At 36.7% G+C, this 24,973-nt stretch overlaps 1 protein-coding gene and 2 long non-coding RNA genes across 3 annotated transcripts in view; 2 read left to right on the top strand and 1 right to left on the bottom strand.

Moving 5' to 3' along the window:
* The window catches only part of LOC124904304 (uncharacterized), a 266,099-nt gene that overhangs the window by 152,221 nt on the left and 88,905 nt on the right, over positions 1 to 24,973 (top strand). The gene's annotated exons all lie outside the window — the stretch shown is intronic.
* Positions 1 to 24,973, bottom strand: part of LINC01919 (long intergenic non-protein coding RNA 1919) — a 29,405-nt gene that overhangs the window by 3,139 nt on the left and 1,293 nt on the right. Inside the window, exons 2-4 of the long non-coding RNA NR_110798.1 lie at positions 16,592 to 16,640; positions 12,007 to 12,119; positions 10,364 to 10,527 (exon numbers count right to left, since the gene is read on the bottom strand). This is a non-coding gene — a long non-coding RNA (long intergenic non-protein coding RNA 1919). The remainder of the gene's footprint in view (positions 1 to 10,363; positions 10,528 to 12,006; positions 12,120 to 16,591; positions 16,641 to 24,973) is intronic.
* Positions 13,654 to 15,090, top strand: LINC01917 (long intergenic non-protein coding RNA 1917). The gene is made up of 2 exons (NR_110800.1): positions 13,654 to 14,301; positions 14,702 to 15,090. It is a non-coding gene; the product is annotated as a long intergenic non-protein coding RNA 1917 (long non-coding RNA).

The raw sequence follows: 24,973 nt of genomic DNA, 5'->3' as shown, positions 1-24,973 counted from the left end.
TAACTTTACAAATTCAAATGCTAATCACAAAGTATGGAGTTTATATTAAATATTATGCTGAGTAGAATATTTGTTCATCTAAATGAAACTAGACTATAAGCTATTGAATTTAATACAATGTAATGTCTTTTAATATCTATAGTTACTGCAGTGCTTCAGTTAGTGAAAATCCTCTAGAAATTTTAATATTGATTATTTTATTTATAACTGTAATGACTAAAGTAGGAAAGTCTTTCAGATATGCTCTAGTGAAGTATGGATTTATTTCTACCATGCCATTTTCTCTAGAACTTATAACTACCTTTGGTTAATGATACTGAATCCTCCCAACTTTCCTCTTGCTTTTATTAGTGCTTATTTTCTAACTCCTTTGCTAATCTTGTTTTTCTCACTTTGGGTCTTTTAAATGGGTAATCTTTGGGTCTGGAATTGAACCATATTCTTTTCTTACTCCTCCTGTTGTTAAATCACCCCCGATACCCTTGTGAGTGTACTGCAGGTACATTAAAGTAACTCAGCTCACCCTAACCCAAAACTCCTTCCTTCTACAAACCTCCTATACCAGGACTTGCTTTCTTGGAGAACAGTATTACCATACACCAAATCATTTACACTAAATAAATAAAGGAATAAACAACAATAACAACAAAATAAAACACACAACAAACAAAACCCCCCAGAGCTATTTTGATCTCTGATTTGGGAATCTCTGTGTAGTCCTCAGCAAACCCAGCCTCATGTTTGTCATTTACCAAGGCAGCATTTCTTATTGGCATTGCATATGTGGGGAGACTCTAGAAATTAACATTTAGCTGTCTTAACTGTCCAGTTAAAGAAAGGGGAAAGCCTTTGTCCATAGCTGTGGATAAAATGGAAAAGTTTCTCCCTTTAATGCTCTATGCTCACCTAGGAAAATGTCCTTGCCAAGTGTTCCCTCCTCACTGCCATCTTAACAGAAACCTGTTAAGCCAGTCTTTGCTGTATTAGTCTGTTCCTATGCTACTAATAAAGACATACCCAAGACTGGGTAATTTGTAAAGGAAAGAGGTTTAATTGACTCACAGTTCCATACGGCTGGGAAGGCCTCATAATCATTTTGGAAGGCAAGGAGGAGCAAAGTCACATCTTACATGGTGGCAGGCAAGATAGAGCTTATACGGGGGAACTCCCATTTATAAAACCATTAGCTCGTGTAAGACTTACTCACTTACCAGGAGAACAGTGTGGGGGAAACCACCCCCATGATTCAATTATCTCCACCTGGCCCCACACGTGATACATGGGAATTACTACAATTCAAGGTGAGAGTTGGGTGGTGACACAGTAAAAGCATATCATTTGCTAAGCTAATAATAATAAATAATGTTAACAATAATATTAAATTACAGCTAGCACATTTGGAATGGCTACCATGTACTAGTAATTGCTATGCACATTGTGTACATGATATTTAACTTCATCAAGTTCTCTGTGAAGCCAGTGTTAATACTTCATCCATTGAGATCAGGATACTGAGGCCCAAAGAAGCTCAGTAGCATCATACAAGTAACGACAGGGAAAGGCAGATTTTAGTCCCATGTCAGGAAGATTACAAAGCTGGAGCTCTTTTCACATTCTCATGTTGCCATGGCTTAATGCCTTATCTCCTCCAGATTAATTTCCATTTAAACAGACAGCTTATGGGAATAATACCTTCAAACAAATGAGTGTATCTCCAAAGACTTTCAGGAGCTATGGATTTTATTCACATTGCCTGAATTTGTCCATCATCTAAGCAAGATTTCACCTCTTGCCATCCTGTCTTCCAAGAGCTGTCAGGTATGTCTGCAGATGAGGAATTCAATGACTGGAGCCCTTAAAAACCTCTAGAATACCACTGCCAGAAACACCATGATACTCCAAGTGTCTAACTTGTGATCATGTGGGCTTGTTACGAATTTTTTTAGTTGCAGTGATCAGAAAAACTGATTTGTAAATAGTTTAAACACACATAAATTGGTTTTCAGAAAATGTCCAGGTATAGTCAGTGATACGGTTGCCTCACAGGCTCACTAGTTTTATTAAGGATGTATTAAGGATGCATTAAGGATTCTTGACTTTGCATTTCTTACTGAGTTGAATTTTTTACATCATGGTCAAAATAACTGCTGTAGTTTCTGACTTCAAGCCTTCATTCAGCTTAGGAAGAAGAAGGAAGGAAGGAAGGAAGGGCTCTACCCACATCTACCTTCTTTTATTGAAAATACAAAAGCTTCTCTAGAAACCCCAGAAGACATTCATGTGCAATTTCATTGGTCAGCACATGTGGTTACTTTTAGCTTTAAGAGATGCCAGGACAGTAGCGTGATGCCTCCAGCTTTGTTCTTTTGGCTTAGGATTGACTTGGCAATGCAGGCTCTTTTTTGGTTCCATACGAACTTTAAAGTAGTTTTTTCCAATTCTGTGAAGAAAGTCATTGGTAGCTTGATGGGGATGGCATTGAGTCTATAAATTGCCTTGGGAAGTATGGCCATTTTCACAATATTGATTCTTCCTACACATGGGCATGGAATGTTCTTCCATTTGTTTGTATCCTCTTTTATTTCATTGAGCAGTGGTTTGTAGTTCTCCTTGAGGGTTTTTATGGTTTTAGGTCTAACATGTAAGTCTTTAATCCATCTTGAATTAATTTTTGTATAAAGTGTAAGGAAGGGATCCAGTTTCAGCTTTCTACATATGGCTAGCCAGTTTTCCCAGCACCATTTATTAAATAGGCAATCCTTTCCCCATTGCTTGTTTTTGTCAGGTTTGTCAAAGACCAGATAGTTGTAGATACGCGGCATTATTTCTGAGGGCTCTGTTCTGTTCCATTGGTCTATATCTCTGTTTTGGTACCAGTACCATGCTGTTTTAGTTACTATAGCCTTGTAGTATAGTTTGAAGTCAGGTAGCGTGATCATTAAAAAGTCAGGAAACAACAGGTGCTGGAGAGGTTGTGGAGAAACGGGAACACTTTTACACTGTTGGTGGAACTGTAAACTAGTTCAGCCATTGTGGAAGTCAGTGTGGCAATTCCTCAGGGATCTAGAACTAGAAATACCATTTGACCCAGCCATCCCATTACTGGGTATATACCCAAAGGATTATAAATCATGCTGCTATCAAGACACATGCACACGTATGTTTATTGCGGCATTATTCACAATAGCAAAGACTTGGAACCAACCCAAATGTCCAACAATGATAGATGGGATTAAGAAAATGTGGCACATATACACCATGGAATACTATGCAGCCATAAAAAATGATGAGTTCATGTCCTTTGTAGGGACATGGATGAAGCTGGAAACCAGCATTCTCAGCAAACTATCGCAAGAACAAAAAACCAAACACCACATGTTCTCACTCATAGGTGGGAATTGAACAATGAGAACACATGGACACAGGAAGGGGAACGTCACACTCTGGGGACTGTTGTGGGGTGGGGGGAGGGGGAGGGATAGCATTAGGAGATAAACCTAATGCTAAATGACGAGTTAATGGGTGCAGTACACCAACATGGCACATGTATACACATGTAACAAACCTGCACATTGTGCACATGTACCCTAAAACTTAAAGTATAATAATAATAAAAATAAAATAAAATATGTGAAACAAAATACCTATCCTCAGACTACAAAAAAAAAAAAAAAAAAAAAAAAAAAAAAAAAGAGATACCAGGACGGCAGAGTTATTCTCTAGGGCTGTGCACCTGACTACTGGACTTGTTAGCCAGGTAGAAGAGAATGATGGATATAAGACAAGTAATAAGCAGCATCTGCCACACTTCAGAGAGCATATATGAATGCCACTTATCCTTTTTCATGTTGGCAGGGCCTTTGCATTTGTCATCTTTATATTTCTGTAAGCTCTCATATCTGGCCCATTGTGAAGTACTTAATAATTTCCTGTTTTTAAATACAAATTTGAAAGTACAAAACTGTAACATTTTCTTCCCAAATCAGCCTTAAGAAATGGTTTCAATAGGTTGAGAGTCAGAAGAAAAGAATGAGAAGCAGAAGAAATCTCTGTTCAATTTATAGTGTTTTTACTGTGGGCTATGGTTGCAAAAATTTTATCTAGGTTGGAATTCTCTAATGACCACAACCAGCTCAGATGTACAGGCCAATTTAAAGCCAATGTTCACAAATTGTGAAATAGTTGGAAACACACATTAAGAAAGATTGGTTCTGTGGTTTTAAATTTAGTTAGTTCCTAGATACCAAATGTATGGATTTTTAACTAGTCATATGGCTTCAAGAAAATAAAGCAAGAAAATATCCTAGCAAATCACATAAAAGAGAAATGTCTTGGTTTGAATTATCAACCTTAGGGCTTCATCACAGTGTAAGTTTCAAGGCTTATTGTTATTTAACAGCAGTGTTTTCTTGCAAACTTCTATTTGAGATATTTATGACAATGCTCTGGTAGTTTCTTTAATGGGGTTTCAACATTTACAAGTGGGGAATGAGAACCACACATGGTGCCTGATTTTTGAGCTATGGTCTCTGAACAAAACCAGATAAATTCACTTTATACCCATCCTGGCTTAAGAATTCCTACTTTCTCATTACCAGCCATGGCCAAGCATGCCTGTGGCCAGGCAATGCTTGTTTTGCATTCAGGGGCCACTAGAGCAAGAGCTTTTAAGCTATGGCAAAGTAAAAGAAAAGTGAGCTGTTATTTAATCACAGTTAAGTGATCTTGGAATTTCAGGGGTGGAAAAAAACATGAACCACACAAAACTAGAAAATTTTCCCTTGAAAGGGAATCATATGGAAAGCTTGGGAACAATTTACATAATGGAAAAAAAATTCACTGGGCCTGAGATTCTTAAATTTTAGGGTAAAATATAAAATATCTGTTCAACTTGACTAGGCAAAACTCCCCTGGCAAAAATTGAATTCTAGCTTGTGTCTTTCAAAGGTCAGCTGTTACCTGGGCACCACACTTAACATTTATATTTTTAAAGTTAAAACAAATTAAATTGGTAGGAACATTAAAATATGACTTTCTAGGAAAGCCCATTGTCTCACTGGGAGTTATAAGAGGCTTTCCCTAGCTTTTCGTTACTATGAAGAGTCTTCTCCTAGATTTTTCTTATTATGAGGTTAGTGAAAACATGGAACAAGGCCTATTTAGGTTTTAGACTTAGAGTTTCATACATTCATTTTTAACAAATATGGAATGCCTATTAAGTGCTAAGTCTGTTCTAGTCACTGGGAACACAACAGTTAACAGAAGAAACAATATCCCTGCTAGTAAATAGTGCAATGTATTAGAAGGTAAAATGCACTACATAAAAGAAAAACTAAAAAAAGGAAAACAAGAATGGTGGAAGGGTAATGTCAATGATGACGGCAATTTTTTGAAAGATGGTTCAGAAAGGCCTCCTTGAGAAGATGATATTGGAGCAAAGACTTGCAGGAAATGAGGGAATGTTATATCTGAGAGAAGACCATTCCTGTATGGGTGTACAACAGGCTAAGTATCACTGAAGGAACATCAAGGACATCAATGTCATTGGAGTTGGGATTGGAAGACAGTACAGGAGGAAAAGTCAGCAAGGGTAAGAAGGCTCCATCACCAAAACCCTTGTGGGCCACCGAAAGGTCTTTAGTCTGTACTCTCAGTGAAGTGGGAAGCCACTGGAAGCTGATGAGCAGAGGAAAGATGTAGTTTTCCTTGTGTTTTAAGAGAGTCGCTCTGATTATGTGAGAATAAACTGAAGGTAATTGATAACTTTGGTATCAAGCAAGGAGACCTGTTAGGAGTCTATTGTTACAATGCAGGTAAGAGAAGATGATAGCTTGGAAAACAGTTGAGAAATTGTCAAAGTTTGAATATACGTTTAATGTGGATTTAAGGAAATATGCTGATGCATTGCATGTTGCGACTAGGAGAAGAAGAAGAGTCAAAGATGAATCCAAGACATGGGACTTGATGATTGCACAGAGATATATTTATTTATTCTTACCTATGTAAATGCCAAAACAGAGATGAAAAAGCCTGTGGATAGGTCAAGTTTGTGGGAAAACGGTCAAAACGTCTCCTGTACATGTGCAGTTTGGAATTAGACATCCAACTGAAGATGCTGAAGATGAAGTTGCATACATAATTATGGAGTTCAAGGGAAAGACGAGGCTGAAAATAGAAAGCTGAGCTCTAAGTTTGTATTCCAATAAATGATAAATTTATAAAGGTCAATTTTTGGCCTCAACTGAGCAGTATATTTATTCTAGGAGATTTTCCACTTTTGGAAATCAAATCTATTGCAACATTCACATTTATTCATGCTTCATTCACTCAACAAATAGTGACTAAACATTGTCCACATACTTGGGAGTGTACTTATACATGTATTATGCTCTCATGGAGTTCATGGGCAAGAAAGGGAATGAGAGAAGAGCCAGATTGTCCCAACACATGGTGGTAAGTGCATGTTATGGGCAGTGGAGTGTTGTATGGGGTAGAGAGCAGTGGCACTTCACGCAGTTAAGAAGTTAGGGAAAGCCTCTGGGAAGAAGTCATTTATTAAGTGAGGTCTTAAGGGTGAAAAGAAAATGGAAATGTAAAGACAGAGGGGAAAACTGTTTTAATCAGATGAGTACAATCTGTGCAAGAGTTTACTACCAAGGAGAAAAGCATTGTATTTGAGAAAATGAATTTTTTTTTCTTGGACATACCAACATTGTCTAAGAGTTGGAGTTGGAGGTGGATGGGGTCAGAAGAACTAAGACCATAGAGGGCCTATTTAGGGAATTTGAACTTTAAGCTAAAATAAAAATAAAAGCAATAAAAATTACAAAAGAAGTGTTTTATCCATTCAGTGTCCACCAAACAATCTGAGATTTTTCTCACTGAAATTAGGTTAACCATTTTTCATGTTTTGAACAAATTTTCCTGTGGGATTAATACCAGTGTATTATTTTATTATACTTGATATACATACCTATTTTTATTAATGTATCTGTGTTACTCGGTTTCTAATCCCTAGTTCAGGTTAGATGCATACACAGAGATAATTCTAAAGATCTGCAAAACCCCAAATCATACTTGTTTAGTTTGCTGAGAAATAAGAACTCTGATGTTTTTTAGATAGCTGAAAATCTTGAAAAATCAATTAGCAGCAAACATCAAATGTCAGAGACCTATCTGTTGTACATACTGGGTATGAAAATGAAACAAGGTTTTTAAAAATTTCAGACAGCCCAGTTTCCTACCACCTGTTAATAGCAAATATTGGAACACACAGCCAAAGCTGAGTATCCAGTAACATAGTGATAGTTCGTGATACCTCAGGAGGTCTTTGCCAGAAATGTGTTGAATGGAATCTCTTGGAAGACCAAAAGGTGGAATAATGGAAAAAAGACCTGACAGGGACAAAACCCATGAAAGGAAGCAAGTGTAGAAGTTAATGCAACAAATCTATTGTAGAAAAGGGAGGTGAGAAGACCAAAGATTGATGGACAAATTTTAATTTCAAGGTCAAGACGGTGAAACTTGGTCTCAGAAGCAATCTGGTACCTGAGAGTAGCTGCTAAAGTGAAACTAAATGGTTCAGACTGCCTTTCCAACCAAAGGTAGCTGGATCCCTTCACACTCAGCCACGAGCATAGGCAAATGTCACACACAGTGACAAGCTACTAACGTCTTCCCAGATAATCCAAAGGTTTCAAGATAATTTTCAGGTAGTGAAATTTAGTGAATAAAGTTCTGTTCTTCCTGAATTCAATAATACGGTGTCATTCATTGTAAGGTCAAAATTGGCTGTGGGTAAAAAATGGCATAATCTCACTCAACCTAACAGTGAGATTTCTTCTCCATATTCAAGATAGTTAATATATCAACATATGACTTTTATGTTATAATATCAAAATAGAAAAATATTCTTACAGAGCAATTAAGCAATTCACTTATTCAGTCAAGTTTGTTTTGTCTTCTAACTTTTGGTGCTCCTTTAAAAATATTTTTAATATTTATTGGTACATAATAGGTATATATATTTATGGGGTACACGAGATATTTTGATACAAGCATACAATGTGTAATAATCATATCAAGGTAAATTGGGCCTTCATCACCTCAATTGTTTATTTCTCTGTGTTACAAACATTACAATTATACTCTTGTAGTTATTTTAAAATGTACAATAAATTCTTGTTCGATGTAGTTACCCTATTGTGCTGTCAAATACTAGATATTATTCATTCTATCTAACTATATTTTTGTACTCATTAACTATCTGCACTTTCCTCACTCTAATACCCTTCCCAGATTCTGATAACCATCATTCTACTCTCTAACTTCAAGAGTTGAATTGTTTTACTTTTTAGCTCCCACAAATGGGTGATATTATGTGAAGTTTGTCTTTCTGTGCCTGGCTTATTTCACATAACATAATATCAGCCAGTTCCATCCATGTTGTTGCAAATGACAAGATCTCATTCTTTTTTATGGCTGAATAGTATTCCATTGTGTAAATGTACCATGTTTTCTTTATCCATTCATCTGTTGATGGACACTTAGGTTGATTCCAAATCTTGGCTATTGTGAATAGTGCTGCAGTAAACATGGGAGTGCAGATACCTAATCAAAATTATGATGAGATATCATCTCACTCCAGCTAAAATGGCTTTTATCCAAAAGATAGGCAATAATGAATGCTGGTGAGAATGTAGAGAAAAGGGAACCCTCATACACTGTTGGGAATGTAAATTTGTATAGCCACTGTGAAGAAGAGTATGGAGGTTCCTTGAAAAGCTAAAAATAGAACTACAATGTGATTTGGCAGTCTCACTGCTAGATATATAACCCAAAGAAAGGAAATCAGTATATTAATGCCCCATCTTTATGTCAGTTTCTATTACACAGTTCAACAAATGTTCTCAAGAGAGTTTCATGGGAATTTAAAGAAATAACAGGCTGAAGTGATGGGTTCTTTTTGTGGATCAAGATTGTCTGAAATTTGCAATTTTCTATGAGTATTGTAAAATTTCTTATCAAGACCAAACAGGCCAAAAATTCCCATTTATCCAAGAGGGTCAAAATAGCTCTATTTTAAAGAGATAGTGCATAAAATTTGGGTAAGTCTTACATTTTATGCAGAATGTTATATCTACGTGTGTTTTTACTCTTTGGATCCCTAAACTAGTGAAGAGGATTGGAAAACAGTCAAGTTGGCCATAGGAAGAAATAATGTCAGACCAATCTAATTTTCTTTTGTGACAGAGTCACTAGCTTTGTAGATGGGAAAAGCAATAGGTGTAATATATCTTTCCTTCAGGAAGGCTTTGACTTTGCTCCCCAAGACATGCTCATAAACAAGCCAGAAAAATGTGGTTGTTTATTTATGTCAGATGTCAGTTGTGTGGCGGTTCAAGAGACTACTTATGAATGATTCAGAGTCAACATATGGGAGCCCATTTAGTGGCTCTCCAAGTTTGGCTACAGTTCAAAATGTAGAACAATGGCACATCATACCCTCTTAGAATTCAGAATGATTTGCTGATGACTTAGAAAAATGATCGACCTTAACTTCAGTTGATGGAGTTTGAGCAGAATGAATTCAATTATTTTTGGAATAATAGCTTTATGAAAACAGAGGGGAAGAGTTATTTTAAGGAGAGAAATGGAGAAAAATCTTTAGTTTAATTGTCTCTCTCCAAAAGATATGCTTACCTCCTAACTCTTGGTAACCGTGAATGTGACCTTATTGGATATTCAGATATAACTAAGTTAATATAAAGTTATTAGGATACACGCTAATTCAATATGACTACCGTCCTTATAAGAAGGGGAAAATGTCATGTGATGACAGAGACGCCCAGGGAAAAATGCCATATAATGGCACAGGGAGAGACTGGAGTGATGCAGCTGCAAGTCAAGGAACGCCAAGGTTTGACGAGCATCATCAGAAGCTAAAAAAAGGCAAAAAAGAGATCTGCCCAGAGTCTCAGAGGGAGCAGTGCCCTACTGACACATTAATATCAGACTTCTGTTTTCCCCAACTATGGGAAAATAAATTTTTGTTACTTTAAACTGCCTAATATTTGGTACTTTGTTACAGTGGTCTTAAGAAACTAATGCAATGACCCAGAGCAGATGTACCAACCAAATGAAGTTGTGGGTATGAGGATGCATCGATGAAACAATAGAGATCTAGGGGTGATCCAGGACCAATTATTTATTATCTATGACAATAGACCAAACATTGCACTCGAATAGACCTTAGTCTTCTGCACTTGATAAAGGAGAGATGCTGGAGTATAATGTAATTAGATCACATTTTCATAAACAGTATTCTATTGGGTGTATCCTTCTCCAGAAAACAAATGCTTACCTTTATAAAATTTTGCATAACATTTTAGGCACTGCACAGCCCTTTTGCAGCCCAGCACATGGTCCCCAGTTTAGATCCTCTGCATGAAACCATGCTGCCTTGGAAGCAAGTCACACTGTGGTGATATTCTCTATCATCTTCTCATGGCAGGAATGACCAGTAAACTAACAGGAAGAAACGGAGTCCTTAATGTATTTAATCTTCTGTGCTTTGCCACCTCTCTAACCAGACGTATTGTCCAAGGTCCTGGACAAGTTCTGTGTTCACTACAAAGCTTTTCTTTGTACTGTTTTACTGCCCTATCTTTAATATTTATTATTAGAACTTCATGGTATAACACTTGATTACTTGTATCTTCAGGAATTGTGTAATGTTTTCCTTGCTTATGCAAATAGAATATGAAATATGGCTCCTTGAATGATGAAAGGATGGTAAGGATGAAAAAGCAAAAACCACACACACACACACACACACACACACATATATGCTGAGAAACCCTCACACCCATAGTCATTCATTGTGGGAACCCCTGCTGAGGATTTTAATTCCAGCTTTGGTCTTCCTAAACATCAATGTATGGTAGGTGGTGGTAAATATTTCCTTCCATATTCGAAAGAGAAGTGCAGAGATAGGGATGGAGGAAAGGAGAGAGGGGAAGAAAGAAAAGAGTGAGCTTGTATATTGTGATTAATTATTACCTGTAAACTTCAAGACAGACAAAATGAAATATGTGGACACACTTTATTGGGGAAGGAGGAGGGTTATAAAAATCACCCTCATCAACCGGGTGCGGTGGCTGACGCCTGTAATCCCAGCACTTTGGGAAGCCGAGGCGGGTGGATCACGAGGTCAGGAGATCGAGACCATCCTGGCTAACATGGTGAAACCCTGTCTCTACTAAAAATACAAAAAAAAAAAATTTAAAAAAAAAATTGCCGGGCGTGGTGGCGGGCGCCTGTAGTCAGGAGGCTAAGGCAGGAGAATGGCGTGAACCCGGGAGGCGGAGCTTGCAGTGAGCCAAGATGGCGCCACTGCACTCCAGCCTGGGGGACAGAGCTGGGGGACAGAGCGAAACTCCATCTCAAAAAAAAAAAAAAAAAAAAAAAAAAAAAAAATCACCCCCATTGTTGTTAGTTTAACATTTTTTAATTGAATTATGGGTCAACATTACACATAAGCTTTAACAACAGGCTTGATAGCCACCAGTGTGGATGATGAGAACACAGGTTCACTCCTGAACTCCTTTCAAAGCACCAACCACATAAGAAAAATCATTACACTCTCAAAAGTAACAACGCCAAAACAAAGTCTCAAAGATTGAGCAGATAATTCCATGGAGGCCTATTCAGAGCACCTCCTTCCATTATAGTCAATTTACTTCCATATGATGTTTATTTCTCTGTCAGATATTTATAGCCCTAATACCAAAAGTCCATTGAACATCAGCCATTGATACAGTAACATAAAGCAGATTTATATATTCAGCTTGTCTAATACTCTGTTGGGAAAGGAAGGCATTGCTCAACATAATAGCCTCCATTCTTAAGAGATTTTCCTTTTAAAATGTTGTCTTATAAATACAAGATGAGTTGAAACTTGTGTGCTCTAAATATTTTAAGGGATTTATGTTTGCATTAACTGACCTTTTAATCAAACTTCAGTGCATTGCTACCACTGCAGAGGTTTCAGGAAGAAAAATATTACTTGCGGTTTTCAAAGTTAAAAGTTTTCCAGTAGAAAGGAAATCTAAAAAGTTCTTAAAAGATGACATTATGAACATATTGTCAGACTTGTTATTATTTGTAGAAAATATTCCTACATTAAATTATAGTGTGGATTTAAAAAAACTTCCTTATTACTTTATCTTGAATACTTTCTAAGAAAGTACTGTATATTTGCATGTCTGCATTTGTGTGTTGTTAAAAATATGTAATATCTTACCTGCCTGGCCTCTATTTGCATATTTTATTTTTATTTGATGTATTTCAGTTTCTAAAATATTGGCAGAGTCTTCAAGAACTAGAACATCTGGGGCTGGGCATGGTGGCTCAAACCTGTAATGCAGGCACTTTGGGAGGCTAAGGTGGGCAGATGACTTGAGCCCAGGAGTTCAAGACCAGCCTGGGCAAGATATCTAAAAAAAAAAAAAAAAAGAAACCCTGTATCTACAAAAACCTGTATCTACAAAAAAATAGAAAAAATTAACCAGGTTTGGTAATGCACACCTATAGTCCCAGATACTCAGGAGGCTGAAGAAGGAGGATCGTTTGAGCCTGGGAAATCGAGGCGGCAGTGAGCAGTGATTGCGCCACCGCACTCCATCCTGGGCAACAGAGTGAGAGCCTGTTAAAAATAAAATAAAATAAAGCCTGGCATACATTATAGTTGGATCTTACTCCATTGATCATTTCCTCCCTTGTGATTCATTCTTTCTTCCTATCCACTGCACTTTCCCCTCAACTAGAAACCTATTTTCTGTATTCCCCAAATAACATAGTCCTCAATTTTGCACCATTTTCTCTTTCTCTTCACCTCCAGACTTCTTGAGGGAATAGCTCATACGTTGGTTCCACTTTCTCAGCATCCATTTATTCCTCAACCCATTATAATCTGAACCCAGTCTCCAACCACTGCCTGCAATCTCTCTTCCTCCAGTCCGTAATAACAAAACATATTAATGGCATTTTGTTTATTTTGTTGGCTTTGTCCATGCATTGAGTCATAGGTAAGCAAATTTGGGAGAACATAGATATTGTCATATATAGTGTTTTCAAAATTAAGCAATGAAACTTTCTTAAATGCTGTTCAGATGCCCAATATAGACATGGGGCTGACATAACTGAACTGAGATGGGGCTACATTGTACTAATTAGAAATCTATTTGAATGCCAGTTTTAAAAATTCCTGACTTATAAAGGCTTTAAAAGCAAGGAAATCATTTCTGTAATTGTACAACAAGATTGAGTTAGGTTGCCACTGTTAGTGGTTTAGCTTCTGTTCTTGAACTGGTAATGAAAATGGTGATGCAGCCATAAGCACTGGGTCCACTTTTCAAAGCAAAAAGCTGGTAGAAGATAAGAAAGGAGTGGAGAGTCACTCTACTTGACCTCATTAATTACCAGGAAAGCAAAACCTTTCCTAGAAGTCCTTCCTGCAGTCAGCCCCTCAAATGCAGAAGAACTCAGTTGGCTGCCCCTAGCTCCAAGGCAGCCTGACAGAGAACAGGCTTGTCATAATGGGCCAGATGAGTTGTGATTCATTGCTTGGGTACAGAAGAACTCTGAACAAGATCAAGGTTCTATCAGTGATAAATAAGGGAGGCTAAGGTATTGAGGAACCATATAATGTTATTTACACTACCTACTTTCTAATCTGCCTCATCTACTCACCTTCCTCTTTCTCTTCCTGTAATCTTATTGCATGGAAGAAATTTTTGGTGAAGACAAGTTGTCTGTTTTTCTTAAAATCATTTTTTTAGCTAGTGGTATGTCTCGAACACTTTCCTAATAGTTCATTGAGATAAAGTCATAACATTTTTTTTTTCTTTCTTCGCTACCCTCACTCATTGCCCCATTGGAATTGACTGCAAATTGCAATTTTCTAGAGAAAGAATCAGTAATCCTTTCTACACAGTGGCCTTGGTGATTTCAAAACTTTAAGAATATTTAAAATATTCAAGTTCTTTCTCCAAAAACTGGTGACTTTCTGCTGCTGAGCTCCTGAAAGTTTTTGAGAAGAAAGTTGAAAGGTTGAAAATGGTGCTGTGTTTATTTGAATATCTGAAGGGTAAACTCCAAGCTACTTATCTGAAAACAAATATTCTCTGAAACCTGCAGAGTAAAGAAGTATAACTTGACATTTCTTCTGCAAGAAAAAAACAAGAAGATGGTGACTTTCAAGACCTCAGTCAATGACTAAAGTTCTGTGACCACAGTGAGGTACGGTGTCTGAACTAAATGTTTTCCTTAAATATTTTAGTAATTTAGAACTGATATTCTATGTATATCATGAAACAGAAAGACCAGATAAGCTGTAATATGAAAGCAATGTAATTCAAATTAAATGGAAGAACACATAATAAAATACAAAACTTCTCAAAAAAAATCTCCATTATGCCTGTTTGTAGCAGTATATATTCCTAACTGTATTAATGTATAATAGTTAGTACAAATCATAAAGCATATGATAAAAATGTAATTTAGTATTCTTTGGTAATAATAAATATCATTTGTTGAGTAGTTAATAAAATTATAAGTGCAAGTTCAGAACATTTTAGGTTCTGTTTAAAAAAAAAAAAGCAAACACAAATACTCATTATTCTTGGTATTATGTGTTCAGCATATTACTGCGGTAACCAGGGCAGTAATGTCAAGACAAAGGTCAGGGTTGGCTTTAAGAAAGAAGCCTGAGAACCGGAACTACATAGAGGCCAGAAAATCAGTGTCTACATGCTAAAGGCAATTTTCAGGAACAAGTACCAGGAGCAGATCAACAAAACAAAGAAGATCAACAAAACAAATAAGGAAGGTGGTTTTATGAACCCAGAGGGGCAGTGGTTATGAGTTGTGGTGCCACTTTATTCAACCTTATCTGCTTGGAAGTTTTTCTCCTACACCATTAAACCCCTCACTGAACCAAACTTTGTACAGACTGCAGCCAAGAAGGGCTGTATTATGGCTTTCTTGGACCTCTTCATCCACAAAAATATTAAAAATTGTATTTCATGACTTAATGTTCTAATTGTGTTTTCTTAGATTCTGTATTTGTCTATTTGGCATCGATTCTTCACAGGGCCAATACTGAATTTATAATATTTTATTATTATCTATATTCTTGTTGCTCTGGCATTTGGGAGCCTTGTAGACCATGGAGAAACTCCTCCTCCTAGGGCTAGCTAATTCCTAAAGATAATAACAATTTGCCTATGAACGCAGGCCTTTCATATGCAAACCAACCAATCCATTAATTACTTCCTTATCTAACTCTCACACACTAAGCCAATGTTTGCCCTGCCTTAAATTATCCCAGGGCCAAGTATCACTCAAGTGGAGGCCATCCCTATAGCCCAAAGTCGAGCCGGAATTTTTAAAGCAAGCCCTGTTCTAAATTGTTTGCTCTGCCCTGTTTTTCCTATGGAAAACCCAATAAAGCCTGTGGTCTAATGCTTTCTCTTTGCTCCTTTCTGCCTTCTGACAGACACCCATGCCTTCTCTGTGTCCCTGCATAGCATGAGATGTCCCCTCTCTGCGACCTTTGAGTATGATAAATTTCTTTCTTCCAAACCTCCTTCTCATTTCCTCCTATGAATACACAATCGTTATCAACCATATGATATACAACATTTACATTCTCAGAATACTGACTTGGAATAAATATATTGACATTATGCATTCAAACATTTAAAAATCTGTAAGTTCATTTTTTTTTCTGATTTTAAAAGAAATTAAAATGTTCTTATAGGTCCCTAAAAGTATCATGGGCTTTTGACAGTAGGTCATGTCTGCCTAGTGGATAAGTTGACTGTGGAGTCAGAGATGGCTTGCTTTTGCTGACATCCTTGTAAGCTCTTGAGAAACTGAATTAGAAACAGATAACCGTCATTCTATGTGTAATAAACAGAACTCTGGCCCACAGACTCTGCAGCAACCATTGCAGGAAACCAGTTACAATCTCTTAAGATTGGTCCAGAATGGTCACGATTTGGTCAACAACTGCCAGCCTCCTTATTTTTCATCTTTTTTTTTTCTTTTTTCCAATTCAGAACCAACCAGAGAAAGCTAAATGTGATCCCCAAACCCATCACATAAGATGTCTCACTTTTTGCTAGCCTACCTCCATTGACTCCAGTGCTATCATGACAATGACCTCAATTAAAACATGCCTAACACCTTTCCTTTTCTCCACTCTAAAGCTTCCCCACTGCTTTGTCTGCCTTTCAGCCTCTGACAAGTTGAAGTGGTGGCATGGATGCCCTTGCTGTAGCAAGCTCTGAATACATAGCTTATGTTTGTTCTCATTTGGATGGTCTTTATTTCCACATGCCCTATCTTCCTTGAGGTTTTTAGTTAGGACACTTTCTTCCCACTGAAAGCCACCTGTCCTGCATATCTTCTAAAGAAAATGTTGATAGTGTGTTCCAAGATGAAAAACAGATAATCCAATGAGTTTATCTATAAAAATATAAAATTTCTACATGTCTATGCTTCTTTTTTCAGATAAAATTCTTACATGAAAGCCAGAAACACAGGAATCTCATCTTCTAAATATTTTCTTTATCCTAAGAAAACACAAAAAAAGTGAATAGAGTTAAGTGTAGACTAGCAGCGCCAGCACAAGTATCACCTGGGACCAAGTTAGAAATGCAAAATTTTGGCTCCCACTGCAGACCTACTCTGGAGATCTGATATACTTTGAGAACCATGGCTCTGAAGCAGACTATCCTGGACGGGCTCTTGAAATTCTCTGAGGCTTACTTTCTTCATATATATACAACGTAGTTATGAATTCCTTGTTTCCAAATTTAAAGGTTGGTTGTGAATATCAAGTTATTAATGTCCTGAAAACATGTTTTCATGATGCTTTCTCTGAAGAAAGAAAGGATGAACTCTGCTATATAATATTTTTAAAGTCTTTAAGAGAGGAGTTGGGTTTTATTTTAGACAAGCAATTGAATGTAGATGGGATTTAAATTAGTTTTAAAAAAGGAAATGACATTCTAGTTGAGGAGAAAGGAGATTGTCAATCACTGTGCCTCCTTCCTAGCTCTTCAAATATGGCTAGCTCCAGGCTGCATATGACGATGATCCTAAAGTTGAGTCCCAGAAGCTACAATGGATGAGTCACTTATACATAACACTTATTAGGTCAGCCACTTAATAGCTGTGTTTCATTGAACAAATTTTTCATCCTGCTTGTAATTTCGTCTTCTTACCTGTCAAATGAGAATAGGAGTGTGTATTAGGCTATACAAGAAGCATGGCTGGAGAGGCCTCAGGAAACTTACAATCATGGGAGAAGGCGAAGTGGAGGCATGTCTTACATAGCTGGAGCAGGAGAAAGAGAGGGAAGCAGGAGGTGCTATACACTTTTAAACAACCAGATCTTGTGAGAACTCACTATCATGAGAAGAGCATGGGGGGAAATCTGCCCCCATGATCCAGTCACCTCCCACCTCCCACCAGGTCCCTCCTCTAACACTGGGGATTACAATTCAACCTGAGATTTGGGCGGGGACACAAATAAAAACCATATCAGAGTGAAAATATTTACCTCACAGTGTGGCTATAAGCAGTAATTGAGATCACTTATATAACACATTCTTCCCAAGAAATATTAGCAGGAAGGATAAGAATAAGATATTAAATAGTTTTTTTCTGTTACGCTGATCTATGCAACTGTAATTTGACTTAAGTTCCTCTCAGATGGTATTATGGGACTATCCTTATTGTTGAGTTGCATCAATAATTAGCTCCCATGTTGACTCTGGTATCTGTGATTACTCTCTCCTTTTTTTTCAGAATACTTTGCCTTTGATAATTGCCATGCTAATAAGTAGCAAGGAATATTTAAGCCCACCAGTTAGGCTGTTCTTTTTGTTCCTGCTGATGTCCACATGGGGGTGTTGACACCCAAGACTGATGGCACAGATATTTGTTCAAAGACACTGATGTCTAATGTGGAGGTGCTACAAGGGTGGCCACCAATATAATCACCATCCTAATGTTGCTGTTTCAGTAACATCTTCATCACCACTACCAATGTTGTAATTACTGATGTCTCACATTCTAAATGTCCTAAAGAAATTGTGGGAAAAAAATAGCTCTCTCTTTTTTTTTCACTCTTCTTTGACATTCCTTAAACCTGTTATTTGGTCCTGAGGCTATGAGATAGTTTGATTGACATTGCTGTGCTATTTAAAAAATCATGCCATTTCAGCTGGGTGCAGGGGCTCACACTTGTAATCCCAGAACTTTGGGAGACTGAGGCAGGCAGATTGCTTGAGCCCAGGAGTATAAGACCAGCCTGTGCAACATGGTGAAATCCTGTCTCTACACAAAAATACAAAAATTAGCTGCACATGATGGCAGATGCTTGTAGTCCCAGCTACTCGGGAGGCTAAGGTGGGAGGATCACTTGGGCCCACAAAGCAGAGGTTGCAGTGAGCTGAGATTGTGCCACTGAGCTCCAGCCTAGGTGACACAGTGAGAGCCTGTCTCAAAAAAAAAAAAAAAAATTATGCCATCTCATCAGTGCTGCCTAATTATCTTCGAACCAAGCTCTTTGTCTCTTATTTATCAGAAGGCCCCTTTCTTCCTTAATATAAATGGTGCCTTATGGGTTCTACCTGACTAATTCTCTGAGTTTGCAAAGAAGACCTTGAGTTCTAGACAAAACACAGCCTAAGTTTGGGTTGACACCTCTTATACATGTATTCATAGAGAAATATGTGTGTGTGTGGAGACATTTTAAAGATGTAAAGCCTTATAAGAACAATGTAGTAACAACCCATCATTATCGTCATGACTTTAACCTTGGTGTGGTGGACAGATTTTAAGGTGGCGTCCATGATCTTCAATTCCTAGTGTTCGTGCCGTTGTGTAGTCCCAGCCCCTATGACTTGCTTTTAAACAGTAGAATATGAAAGGTGATGGGCTGCCCCTCCCATGATTGTTATTACATAAGATTCTATCTTGCTTGAAGACCCACTAGAGCAATTTCCTTTCACTGGTTTTGCAGAAGCAAGCCAACATGAAGTAAGTGGCCATACTAGAGAAGCCCATATAGTAAAGAAGCGTAGGAGCCTGTATAAGCTGAGAGCAACCTCCAGCAAGAAACTATAGCCCTCAGACTTGCAGCTTCAAATAAATGAATTTTACCAAAAACCCAGAGGAGTTTGGAAGTGGCTATTTCTCCATTTGAGCCTCTGCTGAGACCTGGATTGCAGCCCCATGAGATTCTTAGGCAGAGGAAACAGCCAAGCCATGTCCAGATGCCTGACTCACAGAGACTGTGAGATAAAAAATTGTGGTTTTAAGTGGCTAACTTGGTAGTAATTTGTTGTACAGCAATAGAAACCTAATACTCCATGTTAAAGAAACAAAATATGGGGGGAGTCATTTCATTATGAATGCTTGAATACCCTTCTTACCTAATTTTTTAAAAGATGTCTTAACCTGTTTTTTACACGCATTTATTATTATGGCTGTCGAGTAGTATAGTTTGCTTTATTACTATTTCCATTACAAAAACAATTAACAGTTTATGCCTAATGGAATTATAAAGGTGTATTTTAAGGCATGTGACCTTCATAGTAAAGAATTAGGGATTTCCAGTTAAACATGATTAAGTGAACATACGTTTTTATGTCTGCTTAATCAAGAAACTCACTGAAATAGTAATAAAAATAAAACAGGCATAAATCTAAAAGGAGCTAAAGAACAGGGAAAGCAGCAGTACTAGATGAAGATTCCAATTACAATTTTTGATATTGGAAATGCAAAAGGACAAGTGACAAGGCAACTGACTTGAAAGAGGGAAGGAAGTTCACATTTAACTGCACATAGAACCCCAGAAACACTTAGGAGTTTAACACGGCAGAAACCTTTGAACATGGGAGCACAGAATAGTGTTAAAAATAAGAGGTTCTAAGTCTCAGTAAAAAGCAATTAAGTCCTCTTATGTCCTCATCTCAAGCAACACAATTAACCTCTTCCTGTATTAACAGAAATAGAAGTTTTCTATATAGAGAGAGTGTATCTTGGGGGTTCTAGATTTGGGGACATAAGCACCTGAAGGCAGACATGAAGCATAATATTGAAATCAAGACAACAATTCAACAGTGATACAGGGGCTTTTAGAATGCCTTACCTCCCCAGTTTTCCCCAGCTCAGCTCCTGAACAGGGCAAAGAGGATGACTCTCTGGAAAAACTAAAAAGTCAAAAAGAAACTATCTCTGGACAGTGAGAATTTGAGAATTTACTAATGAAAGAACTCAGCTAGCCAATATTTCTGGGAAGCTCATCGGTCAAACGGATCCTTGTTTATATTCACGTATGCAGAGTTTGCATTGAGGATTGTAATGACTCAAACACAGACTCACAGGTGTTCTCTTTCCAGTAATGGTGTACTACATATTTTGCAATAAGTCTCTCATTGAGAACACCTAAGAAAGGTAGGCAGAACTTTTAGAAATTATGTTTGAATGCATCAGAGAGCTGCTAAGATAAATGATTATGAGGTCTAAATCCAATCCAGGAACATTTTTAGGACTTCTGGACCCATTTCCTCACAGAGGTTATATTTTGTAGAGGGCCAGATAGTAATTGTTTCTGATTTTGTAGGCCATTTGGTCACTGGCACAACTGATCAACTCTGCCACTGTAGCACCAAAAGTAGCCATAGACAATATTACATCAATGGATATGACTGTGTTTCAGTTAAATTTTATTGATAGAAACAGATTTGATGAATGGGCCGTAATTCCCTGACCTCTACTCCAGAAACATTTGTCAGTTATGAATGAGGTGAGCTTTCAATATGCTCATAGCACTAGGGGGACAAAATTTAGTGCTAGAGGCCCACAAAGAAGAAGATGTGAGCGGCTTTGGATTGGGACCCTAAAGGGTTGTTCTTTAGAAATAAAAGTAGGCTGGGAGCAGTGGCTCACGTCTGTAATCCCAGCACGGTGGGAGGCAGAGGCAGGCAGATCATGAGGTCTTGAGTTCGAGACCAGCCTGACCAACGTGGTGAAACCCCATCTCTACTAAAAATACAAAAATTAGCCAGGTGTGGTGGTGTGCACCTGTAATCCCAGCTACTCAGGAGGCTGAGGCAGGAGAATCGCTTGAACCCAGGAGGCGGAGGTTGCAGTGAGCCGAGATCATGCCATTGCACCCTAGCCTGGGCGACAGAGTGAGACTCCTCTATCTCATTTTAAAAAAAAAAAAAAGTAATCTAGAAATAGACCAGTCCTTGACAAGATTAAGACCTGGCTTCAATTCATCTACATCCCTGATGGGATTAATTTGACTGGTCTTTACTAATAGGCTAACCTAGCCTTCTCAAAGCATACATATATTCTACCAGGATGATAATATGATCTTTCATAGCCTTCTATTAATACTATAGTTTCTTACATATAAAATATTCTGAACTGGGGGAAGAGACAGGATCAAATGGAATAAAACTAAAAGAAACATTTGACAATAGAGACAGACCCACAGGGGATAACAATGAAATAATAAGAAACCAATTTTAAAATATGTTCAAGAAAATAAACAAGTGGAAGAAAATAACTTGCAGATTGAGAATTTTAGGCTGAGAGTTGGAAGTTATAAAGAACTGATAAAATTCTAGAGCGGAAAAGTAAATTGAGAACTCAAAGACTGGATTTAACAAGAGAGCAGACACTCCTGATGAATTAAACTCAGAAAGGCAAGTGATGAACAATAGAAAAAGGTACATAGGAAACATAAGACATGGTAAAATAATCTAAAACATGAGTAATTAGAGCCCCAGAAGAACATAAGAGGGGAATAAAATGGAAAAGTGATATTTGAACAGATAATGACTCAAGTTTTCCTAAACCAACAAAATTGCACCAAACCATGGATTTAAGAATCACTACATAATCCAAATAGTTTTGAAGCAAAACCAAAACAAGAAACCTAAGAACGAATAGTTGGATTATTAAAACCCCAAGCAAAACCAAAACAGAAACCTAAGAATGTTGTAGAAAAATTATAGAAATTCAATGCAGAGGAAATCTAAGTGCAGCTAGAGGGGGGAAAAAAAGAAAAAAGTGATAGCAATAAGACTAACAGCTACTTCTCAACAGAAACAATGTAACCTTGAAGACAATATAACCATATTTGCAAAAAGTGCTCCAAAAATATCACTCTTGACCTAAAATGCAATACCAAGTAAATATTGTATTCTAACAAAGGGGTCAGCAAAATGTGATTCACAGGCAAAATCCAGGGTGTTATCTGTTTTTGTAAGCAAAGTTTTTTGGGGGAACAAACCTAATTATGCTCATTCATTTACCTATTACATGTGAATGCTTTCATGCACTAGAGTAGTTGGAATATTATGACCCCAAAAGCCTAAAAGATTTACCATTTGGTTCTTTACAGAAAAATGCTGACCCTTCTAAAGTAAAAATGAAATGCAGCCTTATTAGGAAAAACAAAAAGTGAGAGATTTTTTCTTGGCAAATCTGTTCAAAAGGAAATTTGAAGCTAATAAACAGAAGTGAGAAAAACGAGCAATAGCGATAGCAAATAAGTATCAATAAATGAACATTGATGCTATAAATCATAATATTTGTGGGCTTAAAATGTGTTTAGAATTAAGATATACCGCAGCAAAAGCATATAACTTAGGACAGAGTATTTGGAGCTAAATGTTGTAACACCTCTACATTATTTGGTAGGTGATATAAGTACTAATTTATGTTAGACTTGATACATCAAAAATGCGTTTAGCAAAGTCTAGAGTAAACACTAAAATAATAGCTTAAAAAACATAACTACCAAATTAATGAAGTAGAAAAAATGAAATAGAACAAAGAAACAAAAAACTAATCCAAAAGACAGCAAACAAAAAGAGGAAGCAAAGAATCATAGAATAGTCAAGAAAATAAGAAGTAAATAGTGAGGGGAAAATCTTAATCCTAAATATATTTGACAACACTACATTGCATGTGAATAGAAAAAACACCCCAAGTAAAGGTTTGAGTGTTAGATAATATTAAAAAGTTAAAAAGACAAACTATATTTTGACTCTAAAAGCCACACTTTAAATGCAAACAGAGAAATTGATAGTAAGCACACACACAAAAGACTATGCCAAAAATAAAAAATAACACTAGCCCCAGGAAAGGTCTATTTATATTGGTATTAGACAAAAAGACTTGAAGGTAAATTTTTTAATGTACAGAGAGGTATTTTGTAATGGTAAATAGTTTATTTCACCAGGAAAGTATTAAACACCACTTAAAAAAAACCCCCAAAAACCAAGTAAATGGAGACATAGTGGGGAATTTTAACCCACCTCAGCGCATGATAGAAGAAGTAGGTCAAATAATTCCTAAGGATATGAATTCAGACAACATTACTAACAAATCGTTCAACTGACATATATAGAATGCTGCACACAATAGCATGCAGAATGTGTGTTCACTTTAGATACATAAGAACCATTTACCAAAAATAAACATATGCTGGCCCATGTTGTCTGTCTCTACCAATTAAAATCATATAGAATATATTCTTTGAACATTAACAAATGTCATTTATTTCCAGATTTTAAAAATCTACATTTATGTTATACATTATCCATAAGTTTGGCTTTTGCTATATCCCACAAGTCTCAATAAATGCTATGTTTCTTATAATTCAGTGCCAAATATTTTCTAATTTCTATTGTTGTGTCGTCCTTCACCCATGAATTATCTCGAAATAAACTTCTTAACTTCCAAACTTAGGGAGCTTTAAAATTTATCTTGTTGTTCTTTCACCTGCATTTTACTATCTTTAAAAATATATTCTATATTATTTTAACCCTTTGAAATTGGTAGAGACAGAATGCTGAGCATAATCTCAAGAAGTTAGGAAAAATAAAACTGATAGAGAATAGAAGACAGAAAATAGAATAAATAAGAGCAGATGGTAACATAGGAAATATAGCTAACATAAACTAAACTGAAAGTTAATTCTTGGGGAAAAAAACGACAGCACTCATAAACCCTTAGTAATAGGAAAAAAGGAAAAAAAACACTAAAAATAGCACTAATGAAAAAGATGAAAAGCTACTAACAATCTTATAGACACCAAAAAATGGTAAAATGTTGTAAATAAATATGAAAGTTTAGAATAAATGGGAAAATAAAAAAGCATATCTTACCAAAACTGAAACTGTAAAAAATCAAAGTTTATATGGTCTTATAGTTATTAAATAAATTGAATCTGCAATTTAAAAACTAAGCATAAAGTGGCTTCATCATTAGCATCAAATTCATGCATACTATTCTAGGGAACGGCAAAAGGGAGATATAATTCCTAAGTCCTTTTAACTTAGTAGAAGTATGGACATTAGACTTGAAAAAATACTTCAAAAAAGAGATCTTAAAGTGACCAATAAATATAAAAGGGCCTCAAATAATTAATAATCAAGGAAGTGCAGCAAACAGAAGAAAATTTCAACAAAATGTATATTTATATCTTAGAAGGCAAAAGAGCATACAGCACGTATAAAATCAAAATACTGTAAAAATGAACATTCAGAAACTGAGAAGATATTTCAGAGTTTGAAAGATCCTAGCAGAAAACCTTTAAAAAGAATATGTGGAAGATGAGTTGAAGAAAACATCTTCAAAATCAGAACGAAAAAGAAAAAGCTGAAGAGAATGAGAAAAGAGAAGCCATTCCCTGCCTCCCCCCATGATATCTAACATGAGTTGGATCCTTACTATTCTGAGCCCCTTATTATGAGGGTCTATGGTTTTTCCATTCTTGTTATGCATGAAAGGTAATATGGAGAGCTATATGTATTTTAACCTGCTCAATAATCAGCATGAAGATTTGGAAAAGGTTTCACCAATCAACACT

The sequence above is a fragment of the Homo sapiens genome, chromosome 18 (assembly GCF_000001405.40).
Source record: "Homo sapiens chromosome 18, GRCh38.p14 Primary Assembly".
Classification (NCBI taxonomy): domain Eukaryota; kingdom Metazoa; phylum Chordata; class Mammalia; order Primates; family Hominidae; genus Homo; species Homo sapiens.
This window is presented reverse-complemented; position numbering and strand designations above follow the sequence as displayed.